We start from the raw sequence: 23,415 nt of genomic DNA, 5'->3' as shown, positions 1-23,415 counted from the left end.
CCACCTGAGAACGGCACCACAGGCCCTGTGTGGCACCTTGGAAGCCACTGACTCAGATCTCCCTGGTGCAGGTCTGCTGTTTGGGTCAAGAAAATAAACAATCAAACAATGTCATAGACAGTTGTGTCTGTGGCTCTGGTCCAGCCAGACACTTGGGGAATGAATGTCATCCCTCCCAGCTGAGACAGGGCGAGGGGAGGGGGGTGACGCTGCACTGCCCGAGGCCACCGTGGGTCCCGCTGGGAGAGACACTGATAGTCGGCCTTGGTCTTCTCAGGCAGCTGCCATTCTGCCAGGGTCAGCCGAGGCCTGGGTACCATTTGCCTGTCTGTCTGTGCAGGTAAAAGGGATGGGCTTTGGCCCTTGGTGCTGAGGAGTCCGATAAAAACAGCAACAGCTGTAGCTGCCATAGATGACACGGGTGCTCATTGCAGGCTGTCCTGGGCGCTGTGCGTCTCCGTTATTTCGTGTCATCCCCCAACAACCTGTGACGGGGCCGCTACTGTTGTCCCATTTTACAGAATAGGAAACTAAGTCATGGAGAGGTCAAATAATTTGCACCGTAGTCTCAGCATGGAAAGGCAGAGAAACACCTGCAGCAGTCAGGAAACTGCCCTTTCCCTAAATCTCAGGGGAGTAGAGGCCCGGCCACGTCTTGCTTGGCGGGTGTTTTGAAACGGAAGCTCACACACACGAATTTGTTTTGACCTTTGGAGCTCTTGGTTAAGCCAGACACAAGCTCAGTGATGAGGGGCATGAATGGAGGGGCCGCCCCCAGAACAGATGTCCTGAGCACAAATGAGCCGCTGTTGCTTTCCTGCCACACCCGACCTCTTCCCCCAGCAGCCCACCTGCCTGTCGTGGGCCTCCTCGCTGGCTTAGAGGTGGATTTCCAAGAGCAGAAGGCCCTCATCAGCCACACCACGGAGGTCAGGAGCATGGCTGTCGCCTCTAATTTGCCCGAGACCCAATGACAACCTTGGCTGATTGGTCAATTCCAGCTGCAAGGTGACATCTGCGGGCCCCTTGCCCCTGTCTTAGCTGAACTGGGAGAGTGGGGCCCAGCCCCCAAGGGCCAGCCTCTGGCTTGCTTTTGGTGTGCAGAGCTCCCGTGTGTGCCTGGCCCATGCTAGCCTCTGCCTCGTGCAGTGAAGCACGTCCATCTCCAGCCGCTCACCTGTCTCGGGGACTAAGTGAAGTGAATAAATCTGGGCCTCTCTGCCCCATCTGATTCCAGCAAAGGCCTGGGAGATAACCGCCCTGGCTCCTGTCAGCTCTCAGCTCTCTCCCAGGGCCAACTGTCCGTCACAGGTGAGGCCTGGCCTTGCACGTGGGGCTCAGCTGATTTCCCGCTGGTGGTCCAGAAGTGGGCAGCAGGGCCCTGGCCTGCACACAGGAAGGGGCAGGCAGGCCTCCCTACCTTGGTTGCTCCTGGGCTAGACAGGAGTTCCAGGCAAAGCAGGCAGCCCACCCCAAACCTAAGCTCTGACCACAGACCCCATGGGCCTGAGGGAGTGAGATTCCAGCCCAAGTGGGGGAACCTGAGGCACAAACCCAGAGGCCAAGAAAGCAGTGCCCTGAGGATATGTGACAGAGAGACCTGGGGAGGGAGAGACAGAGATGGAGGCCCAGAGATGCAGAGAGGCAGATCCTGGAGAGTGAGAGGAGCTGGCATAGACAGAAGGAGGAACCAAGAAACACTCTAGAAGGCTCTGAACACACAAAGACACAGATACGGAGGGAAATGAAGATAAGAAATTCAGAGGCAGAGGGAGAGTTTGGAAACATCAGCAAGAGGCCAGGTGCCATGGCTCACGCCTGTGATCCCAGCACTTCGGGAGGCCAAGGCGGGTGGATCCCTGGAGCCCAGGAGTTCGAGACCAACCTGGACAACATAGCGAGACCCTGTCTCTATGAAAAACAACAACAACAACAACAAAAAACAAGGGAGGCACAAAGAGATGAGGTGGAAGAACAGTGAAGGCCCCAGAGACACACGGAGAGAAAGGCTGGAGTCAGGATGCACCCGAAAGCACGTCCTGCACCCCAGTGAAGTCGTGGGCAGGGGGCATAGGCTTGCCGTGTTTCATTCTTTCATAAACCAAAAGCCATCATCTGTCCCTGACAGTGCAGACCACACCCAACCCAGACCAGGCCATGTCCCCTGTATGCCTGAGCCTGGGGCCTTTCTCCTGAGCCAGCAGGATGGTCCTGGCCCCAGAGGAGTCCACTGCCTGGCCTTTGCTTTTCCTGTTCTCTGTCCAGGATGCCTGGCACACCCCAGCCTCAGCTTTTGTGTCTAAATTATGCCCATCCTTAAATTCCAGCTCGTCCAGGAAGCCCTTACTGAGTGCCCCTCTCTCCCTGAATGGTCCCCCGCACTTCGCGTTCTCTCTGGAGGGAGCCGATCTCTTCTTCCGTCCATCCACCTTTCATTCTATCTGGAGCTCCTCAAGCGAGTGCAGGGACTGTGAGATTTCGATGCTGGTGACCACATCTCTATCGATTTGAGGATTTGTCTTCGTTATCTGGTGCCTCCTGTCTGTCTCTGGGCCTGAAGGAGGGAGTAAATGAAAATCGATGGTAAATGAATAAGCAAGTGCAGGACGCCCTCCTCCACTCCCCAGACCTGGATTCCCAGCCCTGTCTGTGCCCATCAGCTCCCGTGCCTGGGGCTGTCCTCGGGGGCCTTTCCATGGCAGCCTGGAAGGGGGACCAAGGAAGCAGCGCTCCCCAGGTACCATGTCCTCTCCAGCCCTCTGAGGTAGTCCTGTGGCTGTCAGGGGTGGTCAGGTGGTAGCCAGCAAAGGGCCAGAAGCACACCCCATATCTCCTGGCTCCAGGGTCCCTGAGGGAGGGAGGGAGGGGCAGGCTCTGAGCTGCTTCTGGCTGCCAGTGGACCCCTCCCTAAGCGGACAGGCCCTCTGGGCCTCAGAGCCCCCTTTCTCCCTTTCCAGACCCACAACCTGCAGGGAGTTTCCAAACCAAAGGAAGAGCGTGTTTCCCCCAACCCTGCACCCTGGCCCGGAGGTGGGTTTGGAAGAGCAGGCTGTGTGAACCGGGCACTCTCCCCCAGGACCCACTCATCCATGGCCATGGAAGCAGCCTCCTACAGCCCCTCCCCATTCAGCTGTTTTTTGCCAGGCTGAGGCCACCAAGCATCCCCCTGAGTGTCCCTTCAGGGGAGGCTGGGAGAGGGGCCTGGCATCCCTGAGGTCCCTCCGTCGTGGCTCAGAAGGGCTGCTTGCCCAGCGCTTGTCCTGGGGGAAACCCCAGCTCTTTGGGGGACATGGAGGTGACAGATGGGGTCTGGGGTCTCCTTTCCCTCTGTGGCCCACCCCTTGCTGACCCCAGCTGGCCCTGCTGTCTTTGTACAGTGCGGTTTCCTGTCCTGGGGAGCATTTTCAGGAAAACAGTCAGCAAGTATTTCCTGAGTAACCGCTTTGCCCAAAACCCAGCAGTGGGGCTGAGGGAAGGGACACTTGCCTTTAGGTATGGCCTTGCCCTCGAGTGGTGCCTGAATATGTTGAGGAAGTTGAGGCAGGCATTGGTAGGAGCTGAAATGCAAGCCAGACAGCATCTGGGTGGGGAGAGGAGGGAGGTTGCGTCTTCCCTGCTTCTTTCCATTGGCATTTTGCCCGTGAGGATTGAGACTTTTCAGTGGAGAAATGATTTGAATGGGTTCCTGGAGGGGGTGGATTAGATTCTAATTTTTTAAAAATATGTATAGGCTTGTATAGCCTTTTAAATTTGCAAAGCTGTTTGTCCTGCTTAGTAGTTATTTTTGTCTCCATTTTACAGATGGGAAGACTGAGGTTGAAAAAGATTAAGGTATTTGCCCAAGAGCATCCAAGGCAGGACCAGAGCTCAACCCTAGCTGCTGAGAGTGAACTAGAGCTCTCTCCCACACTGCAGCCTCTGCTGCGACAGAAAAAGGGTCCAGAGAGGGCACAGAAGAGCATGGTGGGGAGACCGAGAGGGGACTGGCCGCCTGGAGAGGAGGATTTCTGAGGGGATAGAGCCGTTAGGGTCAGGCAGGACCCTGGGGCATCCTGCGTGCTTGGTGAGGTGGAAAAGCGGGGTGTCTGGCAATAGAAAGGCCTGGGTTCAAATCCCAGCTCTGCCTCTGAATGACTTCTGAAGGCATCCTGTGTCCTGGGTGTCCTACAAAGCCCAGCTTGGGAATCCACGCTTCCTCGAAAGGGGTGAGTCCACCTGCGAGGTTGGCCTGGGCACCCCAGGGCCAGCCTGTGCTGCATGGTGTGGGCCCGTGAGTTCCAGCTGCCTCTGAAATGTAACAGCTCTTGCCTATCAAGCACCTACCACAGGCCAGATGCCGAACGCGTTACTCCTTTTGACCCTCACGACAACCCGGGGTGAGAGTCCCCATCCCCCTCTCCGCAGGCGAGCCCCTGAGCACACAGAGAGGTAAAGGACTGCTCCAGGGCCGGGCACTCACGCCTGTAATCTCAGCACTTTGGGAGACCGAGGCGGGAGGATTGTTTGAGCCCAGGAGTTACAGACCAGCCCTGGCAAATAGGGAGATGATGTCTTTACAAAAACTAAAAATAAAAAATAGGAAACTGGCCTAAAGTTATACCACTGGGAGGTGGCAGAGGCAGGACACCAACCCAAGTCTCAGAGCCGGTGACTCCCCCACCCCAGGCTCCCCTCCAGCTGCCACCAAGATGGAGCCCCAGCCTTGGGAGACATCTCAGTGGGACTTCAGGCCAAGGACCCTACCCTGTGTGCAGGTGGAGCAGCCGTCCCCTGTCCCAGCAGGGACAGACAGTCCTGCGTCTCTGCAGCTGTGCCTGCCTGGTGGGCTGGAGACGGCTAATTGGGAGTGTCTACACTCCCAGGGGCCTTATCATCATTCCTTTACATTAGAGAATTTTTTTTTTGTTTTTAGTATGCAAAATTTTCCACCATCTGCTTTGCCTTGGCAGAATGTTTGCTGAAAATATCTCTCTTCCTCTATAATTCCCATAATTTCTGGGGGCTTTGGGAGCCTCCAAGCAGAGTGGCCGTAGCTCACAAGTGCCTCCCAAACTCAGGCTGCTGGCTGTCCTTGTGCCGGGCGGCAATGCTCTGTGGCCCAGTGGGAGCATCTCCCCACCCCGACCAGGGAGAGGCACCAGGGCTGTCTCCACCCATGGGCTGACCCAAGGTTAAATCCCAGGATTCAGACCCAGAGTGGGTGCCTGGGTCAGCCCCTGTGTTTTTGTAGTGAAGCCTGGAGAGATGCCTGGGGCCACAGAGACAGGTGGTGGCTGAGCAGAGCCTGGAAGCAGGGCCCCCACATCCCCAGCGCAGTGCTGTGAGGCCACACGGCCAGCATGACGCCTGTCCCCTGGACCATCCCAGGCCAGGCCTCTCCACAGGACAGCTGCCGCCCATGTCCTTTGAGGCAGTCAAGAAAGCGTTTCCAGAAGGAAAGACTCTTCCCCCCGCTCCGTGTACCAAAACCCTGCGTTTCCATGGTGACAGTCAAATTGCAAACCCAGCCAAGAGTGAGCAGGGGGAAAGAAAAGCTGGCCTCTCCCCAGAGAAGTGGGCACGGCTGGCGCTGGGGCTGGCCACTGCTGAGGATGAGCACCCGGCAAGCAGGCAGCCCTTCTGGGCTGCAGTGGGGAAGCCTCAGGGATGCCAGGTCCCCAGCAAGTGGCTCAGGCCCCTGTGGAGGGGCCCAGGAGGGGAGCTTCTCCCCCACCCCTGCCTCTCGGCGGCACCCGGGTGACTCCATGATACTTCTTCCTCCGAAAGGCTGTTGGGACAGCCTTCTCCCTGGTGTACTCGCATCTTCCATCTGAAAAACCAGGCGTGGGCAGAATACAGGGCTCGTCGGTGAGCCATCCCAGACTCAGCCTTTGGAGAATTAGAGAGAAAAAAAATGTATCAGCCTTCAGACACACAGAGTGTTATGTTGAGGATGGAAGAGCAAGGGCCAGATGTATGAGTCTGAAATCTTTGTGAATAGACCTGGAAGACTGACAATCACAGCTGCTATGCAGGGAGAAAGGTGGCAACAGCAATCGAATGGCAAATTAGCCGAAGTTTGAGTTTTACGGTGACATTTCAATGGAGGGAGGAAGAAGAAAAGGCTTCTTCCTTTGCAGCCCGAGGAAGCCAGGAACATTTGGGGACACCGTGTTTGTGTTGGGCCCAGGGCTTCTCAGCAGGGTTTGCTCGGTGTGGCCCTTCCGCCCTGCCAGTAAATGCCAAGGCTGGTGCGGGCACTGCTGACTTCCTTTGGTTTATTTCTTTCGAGTGGTGTTTATTAGAGTGGATTAGAAATGGGATTTGGGTCTGTACCACAAAGACCTCTAAGCCCCAGCTTGAAATCCCAACACAGTGAGCAGAGAGGGTCCAGTCACGGAGAGGCTCTTCCCTGCTTCTTCACGGCTGTGGCCCTTTGGGGTCTATAAACGGAGATGAAGAACAAGCCAGGGAGGATGCATCTAATGAGATGAGTCTGTCTCATCGGCTTCCTGGCGCCTGCTGTGTCACCTGTGTGAGCTCAGTTGGCATCTGAGGCTCTTCCCCACTTCTTCACGGCTGTGGCCCTTTGGGGTCTATAAATGGAGATGAAGAACAAGGTGACTGTAACTCAGGGAGGATTTCTACCTGTTTTTTGTGAATCCTTGTGCACACGGGCACCAAATGGGGACTAGGCCAGGTGGCACCCTGACCCTAACTCCACCTCCAGGGTTGCTGTTTTGGATAAAATGCACGACTCATAACAAACGCCGTCCTCACGACATGGCACGGCATGGTTCACGGTTGTCTTGCCGTTTTCGCCTGCTCCCAGCCCAACTCTGTGACCATGTGTGATAGATGACAGAACAAGGAAGAGTGGGGAGATGGAGGGTGAGCTCACCTCCCTAACCCCAGTCCTGGGACATCCCATCCCATCGTCTCCTTCTGAGTCCTTTGACATCTGCCCCTTTGCACCAAAGGAGCCTGGTACTGTGTGACACCACGGAGCCCCGTGCCCACCGCCAGCCCCAGACTGTGTAGATTTTCCATATTAGCTGTGGGGGAGATGGGACATTCCAAGTCAGGAAGCATGACTAGACCTCCCATAAGCATCTCTGCCAGAGAGAGGCGGAAACCGGTGTGCAGACGAGCCACCCCACCCTCCGCAGGACTGTCCTCCTGCTGGACACCTCCCTGCTCCCGGGAAGTGTGAGCCACAGGCCTCTAATTTCACTGTAGCTGCCCCAAGGGCAACATGGGAACAACTTGCTCCAGGAGCCCAGCAGGAATCCCTGGCTCCTTCCCACCTCCTCCTATCCCTTTTTCATGGGACCCATGAGGTTGGCATCTCATCAGTGAGTCAAAACTACAGAAATGCTTATAAAACTGACACCCATGAGGTCCAGTCTTGGTGGATTCATGATCAAAGCAGCTCAGTCCAGGACCCGAAAAACAACTGCAAAATAAGGCAGGTTTTCCTTGCATTTCTCAAGTACTACGAAGAGGGCACACGGACCACAGCCATGCCCCATCCCCATCTCCTCTTGCTGCGGCATCATAAAAGTCCAAGGAGCCGGAGTAGAACTCTTCCTGGGGAGCAGGACAGAAAAAGGCAGAGCCTCTGAGCAGATGGAGGAAGGAGAGGCCAGGCCTGATCCCATGCTCATCACTCTTTTTTTTTTTTTTTCCATTATATTTTAAGTTCTAGGGTACATGTGCATAACGTGCAGGTTTGTTACATCTGTATACATGTGCCGTGTTGGTGTGCTGCACCCATTAACTCGTCATTTACATTAGGTATATCTCCTAACGCTATCCCTCCCCCCTCCCCCAACCCCATGACAGGCCCCGGTGTGTGATGTTCCCCACCCTGTGTCCAAGTGTTCTCATTGTTCAATTCCCACCTATGAGTGAGAACATGCACTGTTTGGTTTTTTGTCTTTGCGATAGTTTGCTGAGAATGATGGTTTCCAGCTTCATCCATGTCCCTACAAAGGACATGAACTCATCCTTTTTTATGGCTGCATAGTACTCCATGGTGTATATGTGCCACATTTTCTTAATCCAGTCTATCACTGATGGACATTTGGGTTGGTTCCAAGTCTTTGCTATTGAGAATAGTCCATGCTCATCACTCTTGCTCCAGTGTACAGGTCAGGTCCACAGAGAGGAGAGCCACACCAGCCTCATTTGCATGTGCAATTTGGTCCCTGCCCTCAAGGAGCCTCACAACCTGCTAGGGGAAGCAGACATGCAAACAGAGCAGACAGTGGTTGGTGCAGTTGTAGCAGAGAGCACAGGGCATTCAGCCAGCCAGGGCACAGGTGAGACGGAGGGCTTCCTGGAGAAGACAGTTTTCTGTGCCAAGAGAAGACGGGTGGGCAGGGCATTCTGGGCAGGGGCAAGCCAGTCCCAGCGGGAGGTGCTGGCAGGAGCCACAAGCCGCAGGAGGCTGGAGGCACCCAGGGTGAGACAGCAGGTGGCGTGGGATGCAGGAGGAAAAGTAGACAAAGGGCAGGAGCCCAGTGTGGTCCTGGGGGCATGGGGAACCTTTAAAGAGGGTGAAGCTGGGATCTGTGCTTTTGCTGGAGCATCCCCTGGCTGTGCAGAGAACACAGAGTGGAGTGCCTGCAGGTGGGGCCCTGGTGGGGCATTGTCACAGGAGTCCAGGTTGGAGGAGCTGACACCTCGAGTTAAGGCAGTGACAATGGTGAGGAAGTGACTGATTTAAGAACCATTTGAGTGAAACTGGCAGGACATGAGGGGAAAAGAGGCAAGACCACGAGTCCCCTGACCTTCATGAAGCACCTACTGTGTGCTGGCCGCTCTGCTGGGGGTGCACCCTTGTGTGCTGGCCTCTCTGCTGGGGGTGAACCTACTGTGTGCTGGCCGCTCTGTTGGGGGCACGCCCACTGTGTGCTGGCCGCTCTGCTGCGGGTGCACAGGGTTGAGAGTCTTCCAGGTCTTCACGGCAGCCAGCTCCAGCCTCTGGTTGCTTGTTCCAAGACCTGTGGCTCCCTTAGCTGAAAGGTGACAGAGGCTGGAGCCATGAAGGCTTTTCCAGAAGCCTCTGGATCTACATGGCAGCTACCGTTTCCTCATCCCAGTGCCCATGGTGGATTTTCATAACTGACCAGGCACTTCCTCCCACTAAGCTTCAGTGCGGTCTCTGAATTCTTCCCTACACACTGCTCCAGAAAGGGCTCACTGGATCAGATGAAACGTGCTAGCCACCGCAGTATAGACGGATTTTGTTTCCAGTCTTACCTCTCACCAGCGGCTCAGGGTTGTTTGGAAGACGATGCTCACTAAGGGCCCAGCAAAGTGCCTGGCATAAGAGCTCAACCCGCCCTAACCTTCCTCCGTAACCACCAGTGTTTTGCATTCCCCAAGGAAAACGCTGACAGGCGCCCATGACTCCTGTCCCATCTGCTGAGTTTCTCGCCTATGAGAGCTGTTACCCTTGATCCAGACCTTCCTGTGCTGTTGTACTTGGTATTGCAATGATATCACTTAATTAAATGTTATGCGAATTGATGGAAAGAGGCAGAAAAGAGACAATTGTTTCATGAAAACCGAGACTTTGGAAAGTCTTTTTTTTTTTTTCTTTTTTGAGACAGAGTCTTGCTCTGTCACCCAGGCTAGAGTGCAGTGGCGCAATCTCAGCTCACTGCAACCTCCGCCTCCCAGGTTCAAGTGATTCTCCTGCCTCAGCCTCCCGAGTAGCTGGGAGTACACGTGCCCATCACAACGCCAAGCTTACTTTTGTATTTTTAGTAGAGATGGGGTTTCACTATGTTAGCCAGCCTGGTCTTGAGCTCCTGACCTCAAGTGATCCACCCGCCTTGCCCTCCCAAAGTGCTGGGATTACAGGCGTGAGCCACCACACCCAGCCCTGGAAAGTATTGATGGAGGCAACTTGCTTTATAAAAATATATGGAATTAGGGGTGGGCAGGACAACTGTGGAAACCAAGAGGAAGAAATGGAAAAAGGAGGATTCTGCAGTTGTCCTGCTTGGCCAGGGTCTGTGGGTCCCGCTGCAATTCAGAGAAACTGCACCTGGGGTCACAGACAATGCAATACGGGTGCAGTTTATACCTGAGAGACTGTGTGGGCCAATCTTGCAGAAGCACCCAAGCCTGGCATCAAAAGATTGGTGAATGGATGTACATTTCTGTGTTAAAAATTAAAATAGAATGTTTAAAGGGTAGCTATATCCTGTATTATGACTCTCACTGTTGATTACCCAGCCAAATACGGTTTCCATTTAGTCCAGAAAAGAGAGTTTCTCCCACAGTGCATGTTCACTGTGACAACATCCTCACCTCCCCTTGCTGGGATTCCAGCCCCATCCGTCTGGTTCCCTTCCGCATTTGTGAGACTGCACTGTGCGTTACTGGATGAACTGGGATGAGAGCCCAGGCCTGCTGGCTTCCAGTTCAATTCTTGCAGTAAAATCAGAGGGTTGTGAGCAGGAGCCACGGAGCCAGCCTGCCAGGATGAGAATCCGGCTCTTCTACTTACAACTTGGGCACGTGCCCCCGTTTTCTTGCCTGTGAAATGGGGGTAATGCTGTTTCCTACCTCACAGAATTGTTCTGAAACTTCAATGAATGTGTCCATGGAAACTGCCTGGAATGCTCCCTAAGGGTCAGCTCTGACTGTCCCCACATCCCTGCAGAGCATTGCCTTGGGCCTTGTCTCAGCGAGTGGAGGCCTCAGAGCTGTTGTTCTTGGGCCTATTGTCTCAGTGAGTGGAGGCCTCAGAGCTGTTGTGCTTGGGTCTATTGTCTCAGTGAGTGGAGGCCTCAGAGCTGATGCGCTTGGGTCTACTGTCTCAGTGAGTGGAGGCCTCAGAGCTGATGTGCTTGGGTCTACTGTCTCAGTGAGTGGAGGCCTCAGAGCTGATGTGCTTGGGTCTATTGTCTCAGTGAGTGGAGGCCTCAGAGCTGTTGTTCTTGGGTCTGTTGTCTCAGTGAGTGGAGCCCTCAGAGCTGTTGTGCTTGGGTCTATTGTCTCAGTGAGTGGAGGCCTCAGAGCTGTTGTTCTTGGGTCTATTGTCTCAGTGAGTGGAGGCCTCAGAGCTGATGTGCTTGGGTCTATTGTCTCAGTGAGTGGAGCCCTCAGAGCTGATGCACTTGGGTCTATTGTCTCAGTGAGTGGAGCCCTCAGAGCTGTTGTGCTTGGGTCTATTGTCTCACCGAGTGGAGGCCTCAGAGCTGATGTGCTTGGGTCTATTGTCTCAGTGAGTGGAGGCCTCAGAGCTGTTGTGCTTGGGTCTATTGTCTCAGTGAGTGGAGGCCTCAGAGCTGATGTGCTTGGGTCTATTGTCTCAGTGAGTGGAGGCCTCAGAGCTGATGTGCTTGGGTCTATTGTCTCAGTGAGTGGAGGCCTCAGAGCTGTTGTTCTTGGGTCTGTTGTCTCAGTGAGTGGAGCCCTCAGAGCTGTTGTGCTTGGGTCTATTGTCTCACCGAGTGGAGGCCTCAGAGCTGATGTGCTTGGGTCTATTGTCTCAGTGAGTGGAGGCCTCAGAGCTGTTGTGCTTGGGTCTATTGTCTCAGTGAGTGGAGGCCTCAGAGCTGATGTGCTTGGGTCTATTGTCTCAGTGAGTGGAGGCCTCAGAGCTGATGTGCTTGGGTCTATTGTCTCAGTGAGTGGAGGCCTCAGAGCTGTTGTGCTTGGGTCTATTGTCTCACCAAGTGGAGGCCTCAGAGCTGATGTGCTTGGGTCTATTGTCTCAGTGAGTGGAGGCCTCAGAGCTGTTGTGCTTGGGTCTATTGTCTCAGTGAGTGGAGGCCTCAGAGCTGATGTGCTTGGGTCTATTGTCTCAGTGAGTGGAGGCCTCAGAGCTGATGTGCTTGGGTCTATTGTCTCAGTGAGTGGAGGCCTCAGAGCTGTTGTGCTTGGGTCTATTGTCTCACCGAGTGGAGGTCTCCGAGCTGTTGTGCTTGGGTCTATTGTCTCAGTGAGTGGAGGCCTCAGAGCTGTTGTGCTTGGGTCTATTGTCTCAGTGAGTGGAGGCCTCAGAGCTGATGTGCTTGGGTCTATTGTCTCAGTGAGTGGAGGCCTCAGAGCTGATGTGCTTGGGTCTATTGTCTCAGTGAGTGGAGGCCTCAGAGCTGTTGTGCTTGGGTCTATTGTCTCACCGAGTGGAGGCCTCAGAGCTGATGTGCTTGGGTCTATTGTCTCAGTGAGTGGAGGCCTCAGAGCTGTTGTGCTTGGGTCTATTGTCTCAGTGAGTGGAGGCCTCAGAGCTGATGTGCTTGGGTCTATTGTCTCAGTGAGTGGAGGCCTCAGAGCTGATGTGCTTGGGTCTATTGTCTCAGTGAGTGGAGGCCTCAGAGCTGTTGTGCTTGGGTCTATTGTCTCACCGAGTGGAGGCCTCCGAGCTGTTGTGCTTGGGTCTATTGTCTCAGTGAGTGGAGGACTCAGAGCTGATGTGCTTGGGTCTATTGTCTCAGTGAGTGGAGGCCTCAGAGCTGTTGTGCTTGGGCCTATTGTCTCAGTGAGTGGAGCCCTCAGAGCTGTTGTTCTTGGGTCTATTGTCTCAGTGAGTGGAGGCCTCAGAGCTGTTGTTTTTGGGTCTATTGTCTCAGTGAGTGGAGGCCTCAGAGCTGTTGTGCTTGGGTCTATTGTCTCAGTGAGTGGAGGCCTCAGAGCTGTTGTTCTTGGGTCTATTGTCTCAGTGAGTGGAGGCCTCAGATCTGTTGTGCCTGCATCACGGTGATAATCAGCCTCCGACACGGCCAGTGGGTTCTGGTTCCACTAGAGGAACTAGAACAGGGGTTGTCATGTGGAGGTGGCTGGCCAACAGGTGAACTCTTCTCTGCTGGTCAGCCTGAGCCCAGATCCCAGCCTCCTCACATCAGGACTCCCCTCTTTGTGCAGCAGAAATGTGTGTCCTCCCATCCCCAGGCCATTATTTCTTCTGCCCAAAGCGAAAGGGCCAGCTGAGCTGCTACGCCACGTGGTAATGAGCTGGGGAGGCCTGCCCTCGTCCCTCCGTCCATGCCTGCAGGTAGGGGCTGGTCGGGTGACCTCCTGTGCTGTGGTCTGTCTCTTCCAGTGGTTTCCAGTGACAGTGACAGTGACTCGGATCTTAGCTCCTCCAGCCTAGAGGACAGACTCCCATCCACTGGGGTCAGGGACCGGAAAGGCGACAAACCCTGGAAGGAGTCAGGTAAGGTGGGGAGTGAAATGCTGCTTATTGGCCGGGCACGGTGCACTCCAGCCTGGGCAACAGGAGCGAAACTCCATCTCAAAAAAAAAAAAAAAAGGAAGAAAAAGAAAAGAAATGAAACTATTAGGCCGGGCACAGTGGCTTATGTCTGTAATCCCAGCACTTTAGGAGGCCGGGGTGGGCAGATCATGAGGTCAGGAGATTGAGACCATCTTGCCCAACATGGTGAAACCCCACCTCTACTAAAAATATGAAAATTAGCTGGGTGTGGTGGCGGGTGCCTGTAATCCCAGCTACTTGGGAGGCTGAGACAGGAGAATTGCCTGAATCCAGGGGGTGGAGGTTGATGTGAGCCCAGATTGCATCACTGAACTCCAGCCTGGCGACAGATCAAGACTCCATCTCAAAAAAAAAAAAAAAAAAAAAAAAAGTGCTGTTTATTTCCAAAGCCCCAGGGACAGAGTGGTTTTGCTGCTTCCCAGTGGGTGTCCAAGGAGTTCTTCTACATCTGGAAGGAGAAGCAGGCCTAGGGATGGGACAACAGGCTCCTTGAGGCTCTTCTGTACACACAGCAGGGTGAGGAGGGCAGGCAAAGGACAGGAGCCAGGGCCAGCCAGGCCACCCATGCCCTTGGCCTGCATACCTGGGACTCCTCCCATGCCCACCTGTGAGCGTTCCCCAACTGAGAGTTTGCCTCTTCAATCATGAGAGCTGAGAAAATCAGGTGCAGACCTCCCTGCACTAGGTCAGTCCTGCCATGAAACCACCATGGGGTCCCCAGGACCTGCTGTGACCTCTGGGCCTGCATTTCCTTCTCGTTAGCAAGTGAGACAGAACGGGTGGCCTCCAAAGCGCCTTCTGACTTGGAGATCCCTGAGCTCACCCTCTGGGAAACTGCTGTATGAAAGAGGGTTAACGGGGGCATTGAGACTGGTATAGAGAAGGCCTGGGAGAGGAAAGGAAAGACATTTTCCTGTCCTTCAAACACACAAAGGACTTCTGGGAAAAGGGCCAGCTTCATTCGGTCACTCCACAGGTCGGAACTGGGACCCTTGAAAGAAATTTCAGGGAGGCCAATTTTAGTACAGAAGAAGAAAGGGCTCCATAATAACTGCCCCAAACAGGAATGAAATGCCTTGGAGGTCCTGATTTCAGCGAGGCCAATTTTAGTGCAGAAGAAGAAAGGGCTCCATAATAACTGCCCCAGATGGGAACGAAATGCCTTGGGGGTCCTGATTCCAGTGAGGCCAATTTTAGCGCAGAAGAAGGGCTCTGTAATAACTGCCCCAAACAGGAATGAAATGCCTTGGGGGTCCTGATTTCAGCGAGGCCAATTTTAGTGCAGAAGAAGAAAGGGCTCCATAATAACTGCCCCAGATGGGAACGAAATGCCTTGGGGGTCCTGATTTCAGTGAGGCCAATTTTAGCGCAGAAGAAGGGCTCTGTAATAACTGCCCCAGATGGGAATGAAATGCCTTGGAGGTCCTGATTTCAGCGAGGCCAATTTTAGTGCAGAAGAAGAAAGGGCTCCATAATAACTGCCCCAGATGGGAACGAAATGCCTTGGGGGTCCTGATTCCAGTGAGGCCAATTTTAGCGCAGAAGAAGGGCTCTGTAATAACTGCCCCAAACAGGAATGAAATGCCTTGGGGGTCCTGATTTCAGCGAGGCCAATTTTAGTGCAGAAGAAGAAAGGGCTCCATAATAACTGCCCCAGATGGGAACGAAATGCCTTGGGGGTCCTGATTCCAGTGAGGCCAATTTTAGCGCAGAAGAAGGGCTCTGTAATAACTGCCCCAGATGGGAATGAAATGCCTTGGGGGTCCTCATTTCAGCGAGGCCAATTTTAGTGCAGAAGAAGAAAGGGCTCCATAATAACTGCCCCAGATGGGAACGAAATGCCTTGGGGGTCCTGATTTCAGTGAGGCCAATTTTAGCACAGAAGAAGGGCTCTGTAATAACTGCCCCACATGGGAATGAAATGCCTTGGGGGTCCTGATTTCAGCGAGGCCAATTTTAGTGCAGAAGAAGAAAGGGCTCCATAATAACTGCCCCAGATGGGAACGAAATGCCTTGGGGGTCCTGATTCCAGTGAGGCCAATTTTAGCGCAGAAGAAGGGCTCTGTAATAACTGCCCCAGATGGGAATGAAATGCCTTGGGGGTCCTGATTTCAGCGAGGCCAATTTTGGCACAGAAGAAGGGCTCTGTAATAACTGCCCGAGATGGGAACGAAATGCCTTGGGGGTCCTGATTTCAGTGAGGCCAATTTTAATGCAGAAGAAGGGCTCTGTAATAACTGCCCCAGATGGGAATGAAATGCCTTGGGGGTCCTGATTTCAGCGAGGCCAATTTTAGTGCAGAAGAAGAAAGGGCTCCATAATAACTGCCCCAGATGGGAACGAAATGCCTTGGGGGTCCTGATTTCAGTGAGGCCAATTTTAGCGCAGAAGAAGGGCTCTGTAATAACTGCCCCAGATGGGAACTAAATGCCTTGGGGGTCCTGATTTCAGCGAGGCCAATTTTAGTGCAGAAGAAGGGCTCTGTAATAACTGCCCCAGATGGGAATGAAATGCCTTGGGGGTCCTGATTTCAGCGAGGCCAATTTTAGGGCAGAAGAAGGGCTCTGTAATAACTGCCCCAGATGGGAGTGAAATGCCTTGGGGGTCCTGTCTTGGGACCAAGACTGGGTTGGGAATGGAAGTTTGAGCTAAATCAGAGCTGGCAAAGACCTGACACACGTACCACCACCCCCCTCTCCTGTGACCATGGCAGACATTACTAGGTGATCATGATACTCTTTCCACAGAGCCCTGATGTGCCCTCAGAATCCTCCTCAGTGCAGTTTTCTAAGTGGCCAATATCAGCAGGTAGAGATGGTGCAAGAGATGAAAACTGTCCCTGGACCAGTGACTTCCCAGGCTCCATCAGGCTGAAGATTCTAGAGAAAATTTAGAAGAGTATAAAGGAAACTTACCTGCCAGCCTCGGTTTCCAGGGCAGGCTTTATACTCCCCTCCTCCTCCCACCATGGGCTCTTGTCCCCTCGCTCCACACCCACCCTCAGCTCTGACCAAGCAGGACTGGGAGACAAGAGAAGTTCAGCAAAGTAGCAGGCTCCACGTCTGCTCTCTTGGCCAGGCAAAGACCAGAAACCATGTTTGAGTGAAGACCCTTTAGTGAGTTAAGGCAGCAGTCAACATCTCTCTCTCATTAGGTTAACCAAAATATATATCCCCCACCCCCACCCCCATTCTGTGATAATTGTGGACTTTCATGTTGGTGATCTGTGACTTAGTGAAAAGACCTGCAGGCCCGTTCTTGGACCCACCAGCAACAGCCAGAGGGTGGGGTCGGGCCAGAGCCCTGCAGCCATGTGGGTGAGGTCAGGCCAGAGCCCGGCAGCCATGTGGGTGGGGTCAGGCCAGAGCCCGGCAGCCATGTGGGTGAGGTCAGGCCAGAGCCCGGCAGCCATGTGGGTGGGGTCAGGCCAGAGCCCGGCAGCCATGTGGGTGAGGTCAGGCCAGAGCCCGGCAGCCATGTGGGTGGGGTCAGGCCAGAGCCCGGCAGCCATGTGGGTGAGGTCAGGCCAGAGCCCGGCAGCCATGTGGGTGGGGTCAGGCCAGAGCCCGGCAGCCATGTGGGTGGGGTCAGGCCAGAGCCCGGCAGCCATGTGGGTGAGGTCAGGCCAGAGCCTGGCAGCCATGTGGGTGGGGTGGGGGGCAGACATCCCATAGAGATCTAGAGTTCCAAACGAGGAACTGGACTGAGATCACCCCGTCTCGGTTTGAGATCCACGGGGCCCACACGTGATTTCCCACAGGTGGCAGCGTGGAGGCCCCCAGGATGGGGTTCACCCACCCGCCGGGCCACCTCTCTGGGTGCCAGAGCAGCCTGGCCAGTGGTGAGACGGGGACAGGCTCTGCTGACCCGCCAGGGGGACCCCGCCCCGGGCTGACCCGAAGGGCCCCGGTGAGTACCCAACTGCTGCCTTCTCCCCTCTCCTGCCCCCGCGGCCGTGTCCTCTCTCACTCACTCCTCCCAAACTGGAGACTGGTCGGTGACGTTTTCAATTCTGCATGTTGTTTACCAAGCACTGTGCGGGGGAACAAGGTGAGCCAGACCCCATCCCTGCCTGCAAGGAACAGAGAGAGGGACCCAGAATGATAATGGTAGCCATCCCTAGCCACTCTCGGTAATCACAGCAGTGGTTACCATCCTCTGCTACATAAAACGTGTCGGGCTCCCCTGGGGCGAACTTTCATTCTCTTGGCAGAGTGGCTGGGAGGCTTATTGTCCCATTTGATGGGTGTAGAAACCAAGGCACAGAGAGAGAGTGAGGGGAGAATCCTGGGCTCCCACCCTGCCCTGCACCTGCTGGGCCCAGCCCTGGTTGGCCCAGGATCATCCTGTGGCGGGGGTGAGGGTTCTCCTTAAACTGAAGCCAGAGAAAACTGCGCAGGTGCAGGATCAGCCCTGTCTCCTTCAAGAAAGAAGCCCTGGGCAGGTTGGGCCCCTCCCTGGCCAGAGGATTCATGGGTACACGCATGCACCAGGGCAGCAGCTGATCTCCGTCCCCGGGGTGTGGAGGGCACCCGGCAGCCACCCACAGGAACGCCTGCCGCACCTCTCTCCTTCCCCACTCGATGGCTCCCAGGAGCTGCAGAGCATCCGGGAGGCATCTTTGGCTGTGGAGTGGACCCTGCCCCCTCCCTCTAGCCTCCTGGAGGTCCTCCACAGAGGACAGTGTGGAATCCGGCAGCCCCGAGTTCTTGTCCCAGCCCTGCCACCCACAGCCATGTGACCTTGAGCAGACCCCCAGGTTGAACCATATGAAATTGCTTTTTTTTTTTTTTGAGACAGGATCTCATGCTGTTGCCCGGGCTGGAGTGCACTGGTGTGATCACCGTTCACTGCAGCCTCGACCTCCTGGGCTCCAGTGGTCCTCCTGCCTCAGCCTGCCAAGTAGCTAGGACTATAGGCAAGTGCCACCATGCCCGGCTAATTATTTTTTGTATTTTTCAAAGGGACGGGGTCTCCCTATGTTGCCCAGGCTGGTCTCGAACTCCTGGGCTGAAACAGTCCTCCCACCTTGGCCTCCCAAAGTGTTGGGATTACAGGCAAGAGCCACTGCGCCCAATTGAAATTGCATTTTTGTGGTTCAAAAACAGTGAAATATCGGCAGTTCAATATGGTTCACCCTTATATTTGATCTCTCTGTGCCCAGTTCTATTATCGGTACGGTGTCCTTCACAGGGTTCCGGGGAGACAAAATCCAGTGTCACATGGACTGCCTTCCCCTAGGAGGTCCTCAGTAAATGTCCAGTGATAAAGGGGGAAGCTGTGTGGCCCAGTGCAGAGAGGGTTCCTGGGCTTAAGAAACAACCTGGGGAAAGATTGGCTTAAAGGAGGGTGTTCTCTTTCCGTGCCCATTTGCTCCTTCCGGCATCCTGAGGTCGCCATGTTGATCACCTGGGTTAGGAGGAGGGCCTGAAGCCCAGAGGGGCAGGTGACTTTCCTGCCATCACACAGCAGAGCAGAGCGGTGCTGGTCTCGAGCTCGGGCTGAGGCACGGATGCTGTCAGCAGAAGCCTGCCTTCCCCACCAGCTCCTCCATCTCATTCCCAAAGGCCGAGCTGTCACCGGGGAGGGAGGGACTCCACCGCTGCTCACCATGTGGTGGCCTTTTCTCTCATCCAAAGGTAAAAGACACACCTGGACGAGCCCCCGCTGCTGACGCAGCTCCAGCAGGCCCCTCCAGCTGCCTGGGCTGAGGTGTCTGGTGCCTGGAACAGACTTCCCTGTGGAGGATTCCTGCCAGACCCTGCCCGGCTCCTCCCTGACCGGTCCTTGTGCCCTCACCAGACACCCTGTTGGCCATGACTCAACAAACCAGTGTTGGGAGCCGTCTGCCTCCCCAGCTCAGTGCCTTTCTGCACCCCTTCTCTCCTGGGGAGCTGTCTGCATCCGCCACCCCCTCCAACCACTGCCCTCAGCCCCCGACCTTATTTATTACCCTCCCCTCCCACACCCCCAATCTACCTGGTGATGATTTTAAGTTTGCGCGTGTCTTGGGTTGGGCTGGGGGGTTTCCCACATGCAGTGTCAGAGGGGCCGCCCGGTGGGGCTATCTCCGTTGCTATATTAATGGCAAGACTAAATGAAACCTAGGGCACGGCCTCCGAAGCTGCGTGTGGCCCCTTAGAGGTGAGCATCAGAGCCAGAGCAGTGAGGGGGAGACTCACCCACCCTCTCCCTCTCCCTTCAGCTCTGGGAGGCAGGCGCAGTGCCCCCCTCCCATGGGCTGGCCCAGGACCGTGGGTGAAACCTGGGTCTGTTTAGTTTCTTTGGTTTTTGTATGTTTGTTTGTTTTTGACACAGTCTCGCTTTGTTGCCCAGGCTGGGGTGCAGTGGCACGATCGCGGCTCACTGCAACCTCCACCTCCCGGGCTCAAGCGATTCTCTCACCTCAGCCTCCTGAGTAGGTGGGATTACAGATGCCCGCCACCACACCCAGTTAATTTTTGTATTTTTAGAAGAGATGGGGTTTCTCCATGTTGGCCAGGCTGGTCTTGAACTCCTGGTCTCAAGTGATCTGCCCGCCTCGGCCTCCCAAAGTGCTGGGATTACAGGTGTGAGCCACCGCACCCAATCCTATTAGGTTTCTTTGAATCCCCTCATGGCCTGCCTGGTTTTTGCTCAGCCTGTCTTCAGCTTGAGGAGCTGGGAAGCTCTGGTGGATGCTATGAACTCACTTGCTGAAGAGCAGCGTTCAGGTGCATCCCCAGCCAGGGCACGTGGCTCCCTCAGCCATGAATTCACTTCTCTTCAGGAGGTTTGGCTTGGCATGAAAATACTTCATTCAGAGTATGGGCAAATGCTTCTGGAAAACCCTTCCCTGAAGAGAGAGAACGTGTGTGTGTGTGTCGGTGATCACACCCTCCCATCCTTCCTGCCTCCTGCCCCAAACCCCGGGTTCCTGGGTCTGGAAGGGCCTTCTCTCCAAGCTGGGAGCTCCTGGGCCCCCACCATTCACTTTTTGTCCTTGCTGCTGGCAAACAGTAAAGAAACTCACTTTCCCTGTGGCACGTTATGCTTCAGAATTAAAACAATGAAGATTAAAATTTGCACCGAGCCAGTGTGTTGATCGAAGACCACGATTGCCTGTGTTTCTGAGATGCGTCCATGGAAAAATGGAAAAAACTGTGGTGCGTTGACTTGCTGGAACCCTTCCTAAGCCGCAGTGAAAGGAGGGGCTAGATCTGTGTGTGTTCATGCAGCTCACACACCTGATGCTGAACGGATAAGCAAGGCCATCTACATACAAAAGTACACACAAATAATCAGAATGAGTTCTGCAAACACATACGTATGTATGCAAAAATGTCTTTTAAATGCACAAGGACTTCTGGTTATATATGGTGCACTGAATATATTCATATTTTCCTCTGTCCCTCAAAACCCCACTAGAATGACGTAAAGGAATGAAAATGGCATAAAGCACAAAGACAAAAAGAACAGGAGAGAAGATGGCAGTGAATGACAAATATCTGAAGAGCTTTGGAAGCTGGAACAGTATGATTTGCTTAGTGTCAGCCTCAAAATGTCTACAAAGAAGGAAGCCAAGCATGAACAAGCCCATTTGCTTTGCAGAATCCCCCAAATGCACAGAACTTGGAGGGGCCAGGTGTCCCAAAGGTGGAAGTTCAGGGTGGGTCTGAGAATTGTCTTGATTGAAAGAAGTGTTTACACCCTCAGGTCCCCTCTCCCGGCCTGGTGACTGCCCTTCTCTGACCATGGCAGGAGACAGGTTTACTGCCGGCCAATGGTGATCTGAAAAGATTCTGGATTGGGGACCCCAAGGGTAGCCAAAGGCTGGGGCAAGGTGCCTTCCTGAAATCAGGATGTAAATGGGGACGCCCTCATTCCCCTTTAAAATCCCTGATGGAGGCTGATAAAAGCCAGGCCTAGTCCCCATCCATCCACCCCCAAGGCAGGACATTTATTATTATTATTTTGAGACGGAGTTTCGCTCTTGTCACCCAGGCTGAAGTGCAATGGTATGATCTCGGCTCACCGCAACCTCCGCCTCCCAGGTGCAAGTGATTCTCCTGCCTCAGCCTCAAGTGAGTAGCTGGGATTATAGGCATATGCCACCACGCCCAGCTAATTCTGTATTTTTAGTAGAGATGGGGTTTCTCCATGTTGGTCAGGCCGGTCTTGAACTCCTGACCTTGTGATCCACCCGCCTCAGCCTCCCACAGTGCTGGGATTACAGGCATGAGCCTCTGCACCTGGCTGGCAGGACATTATTGAATTTCTCTCTGGGAAACTGATCAAAGAGAACAGATGGACAGATCCTGACACTGGGGGTTCCCCAAACAGTGGGTCTCTGCCCAGTCCACTGTGAGACCTCCAGTCCACAAGCCTCACCCACATGTTCAGTGCTGCCTATTAGCTTTGCTGTGTTTCACTCAGAGTGGGGACAGCCAAGGGCACCCAACGTTTGATGAAATCCAATAACTGAAAATAGAGACTCCAGTACACAGAAAAAAGGAGAGGAAAATCCCCTGAAGTATTACACCTATGAAATGAGAAAAGAATTTTATTTTTTTAAAGGCAGTGTTGAAGTTCTTGAACATTAAAAATATAATAGCAGGAATTTAAAATGCATGAGAAGGGATGGAAGAGGAGAGAAAATCTCCCAGAAAGTAAAATGCATAAAAGCAAAAGAGGAAAAAGTCAAGAACATTGAACAACAACAAGATCAGCTCAACACAGAAGATCCAGCCTCCATCAAATAGGAATTTCAACCCAAGAAACAGAAAACAGAGGAGAGGAGATTGTTGAAGAAATGACACAAGAATATTTCCCAGGACTGAAGGGAATGGGCTTCCATAGAGAAAGCCTGTAAGTGACCGGCAGAGGGACGTGAAGCCTCCACACCCGTGTGGCCCCTCCACCATCCCGAGCAGCAGTTTGGTGATGCCCAGTAGACGAAGGTGGGCGCTGCCTGCAGCCATCCCTGAGGTCCTCCTGAAACACACATGCTCACTCGCCAGCTCTGGGGCGGGACCCCAGTGTGCACATCTAACATGCTGGCAGGTGACACATGGTTGAAGGGACACTCCTTGAGTAGCATTGGTCTAGGGCAGTGGTTGTTCCCCTTGGCTGCTCACTGGAATCACCTGGGGAGCTTTAAAAGTACTCCTGGCAGACCCACCACTAGAGATTTTGGTTTAATCGATTTTGGATGTATCCTTGGCTGGCATCGGGATTTGTGAAGCTCTCCAGATGACTCCAATGTGCTGGGAGGCCTCAGGACCATTTCCCTCCAGAAACTCATCTACATGGGCTCCAGGAGACATGCACTGAATATTTACAGCTCAAATTTAGAAGCAACCAAAAAAGCCTTCAACAGAAGAATAGGTACATAAATTGTGATATATGCAAACAATAGAATATTATGCAGTGGTGAAATTGAGTCACCACCCTCAGAGTATGTGTATCTCACCAATAATGCTGACAAAGAGACAGGTGGCAGAAAAATACGTGACACCATCTATATAGAGATTTCACAAACATGCAAGAATGTTATATATTAAAATATATTTTATGCAGCAAGAGAATTCAGAAACAGGAAGGATAACAAAACAACAGACTCAGGACACATCTTGGGAAGAGGAGAAATACAATTAAAGAGGAATCTTAATGTTTTATTAAGCTCAGTGATAGGTAGATGGGTTTGTAATATTTATATTTTACTTCATATTGTATATTTATATGTTTATTATAGATTTGTATTATTATTATTTTTTTGAGATGGAGTCCTGCTCTGTCGCCCAGGCTGGAGTGCAGTGGCGCGATCTCAGGTCACTGCAACCTCCGCCTCCTGGGTTCAAGCAATTCTCCTGTCTCAGCCTCCCGAGCATGTGCCACCATGCCCAGCTAATTTTTTGTATTTTAGTAGAGACGGGGTTTCACCGTGTTGGCCAGGATGGTCTCTAACTTCTGACCTTGTGGTCCATCTGTCTCAGCCTCCCAAAGTGCTGGGATTACAGGCGTGACCCACTGCGTCTGGCCTAGATTTTTATTTTTTATATGTCAGAAATATTTTAAAGTAAATTAAGGAACTACACCAAACATTCTTATGAAATTTCAGGACACCAGGATAATCAGAAAATATCCCAAAGCCTTCCAAAGAGAGAAAAAAAAAGTCACATACAAAGGATCAGGAATTTAAATGGCGCTGAAATTCT

At 53.5% G+C, this 23,415-nt stretch overlaps 1 protein-coding gene across 4 annotated transcripts in view, besides 6 other annotated features; it reads left to right on the top strand.

Annotated features, from left to right (window-relative positions):
• The window catches only part of RPH3AL (rabphilin 3A like (without C2 domains)), a 140,419-nt gene extending 120,026 nt beyond the window's left edge, over window positions 1-20,393 (top strand). For all 4 annotated transcript variants that reach the window (NM_001190413.2, NM_001190411.2, NM_001190412.2 and 1 more), the window contains 3 exons: window positions 13,046-13,159; window positions 16,980-17,128; window positions 18,859-20,393. In NM_001190413.2, the coding sequence (NP_001177342.1) occupies window positions 13,046-13,159; window positions 16,980-17,128; window positions 18,859-18,930 (335 nt within the window). In that variant the 3' untranslated portion in view covers window positions 18,931-20,393. The remainder of the gene's footprint in view (window positions 1-13,045; window positions 13,160-16,979; window positions 17,129-18,858) is intronic.
• Window positions 4,287-4,809: an enhancer, noted in NCBI's record as "H3K4me1 hESC enhancer chr17:77764-78286 (GRCh37/hg19 assembly coordinates)". NCBI's record gives its function as "activates a minimal SCP1, AML or CMV promoter by ChIP-STARR-seq in naive H9 embryonic stem cells {active_cell/tissue: H9 hESC(naive)}" and the evidence as "EXISTENCE:reporter gene assay evidence [ECO:0000049][PMID:30033119]".
• Window positions 4,936-5,436: an enhancer, noted in NCBI's record as "H3K4me1 hESC enhancer chr17:77137-77637 (GRCh37/hg19 assembly coordinates)". NCBI's record gives its function as "activates a minimal SCP1, AML or CMV promoter by ChIP-STARR-seq in primed H9 embryonic stem cells {active_cell/tissue: H9 hESC(primed)}" and the evidence as "EXISTENCE:reporter gene assay evidence [ECO:0000049][PMID:30033119]".
• Window positions 12,382-12,882: an enhancer, noted in NCBI's record as "H3K27ac hESC enhancer chr17:69691-70191 (GRCh37/hg19 assembly coordinates)". NCBI's record gives its function as "activates a minimal SCP1, AML or CMV promoter by ChIP-STARR-seq in naive and primed H9 embryonic stem cells {active_cell/tissue: H9 hESC(naive and primed)}" and the evidence as "EXISTENCE:reporter gene assay evidence [ECO:0000049][PMID:30033119]".
• Window positions 12,883-13,383: an enhancer, noted in NCBI's record as "H3K27ac hESC enhancer chr17:69190-69690 (GRCh37/hg19 assembly coordinates)". NCBI's record gives its function as "activates a minimal SCP1, AML or CMV promoter by ChIP-STARR-seq in primed H9 embryonic stem cells {active_cell/tissue: H9 hESC(primed)}" and the evidence as "EXISTENCE:reporter gene assay evidence [ECO:0000049][PMID:30033119]".
• Window positions 16,879-17,048: an enhancer, noted in NCBI's record as "experimental_47292 CRE fragment used in MPRA reporter constructs". NCBI's record gives its function as "activates a minimal promoter by MPRAs in K562 erythroleukemia cells, with activity observed for the introgressed 17:65610 or rs62057050 variant allele {active_cell/tissue: K562}" and the evidence as "EXISTENCE:reporter gene assay evidence [ECO:0000049][PMID:34662402]".
• Window position 16,963: a transcriptional cis regulatory region, noted in NCBI's record as "Neanderthal adaptively introgressed variant 17:65610 (GRCh37/hg19 assembly coordinates) or rs62057050 in the experimental_47292 CRE". NCBI's record gives its function as "modulates activity of the experimental_47292 enhancer by MPRAs in K562 erythroleukemia cells {active_cell/tissue: K562}" and the evidence as "EXISTENCE:reporter gene assay evidence [ECO:0000049][PMID:34662402]".

The sequence above is a fragment of the Homo sapiens genome, chromosome 17 (genome assembly GCF_000001405.40).
Source record: "Homo sapiens chromosome 17, GRCh38.p14 Primary Assembly".
Classification (NCBI taxonomy): Eukaryota; Metazoa; Chordata; class Mammalia; order Primates; family Hominidae; genus Homo; species Homo sapiens.
This window is presented reverse-complemented; position numbering and strand designations above follow the sequence as displayed.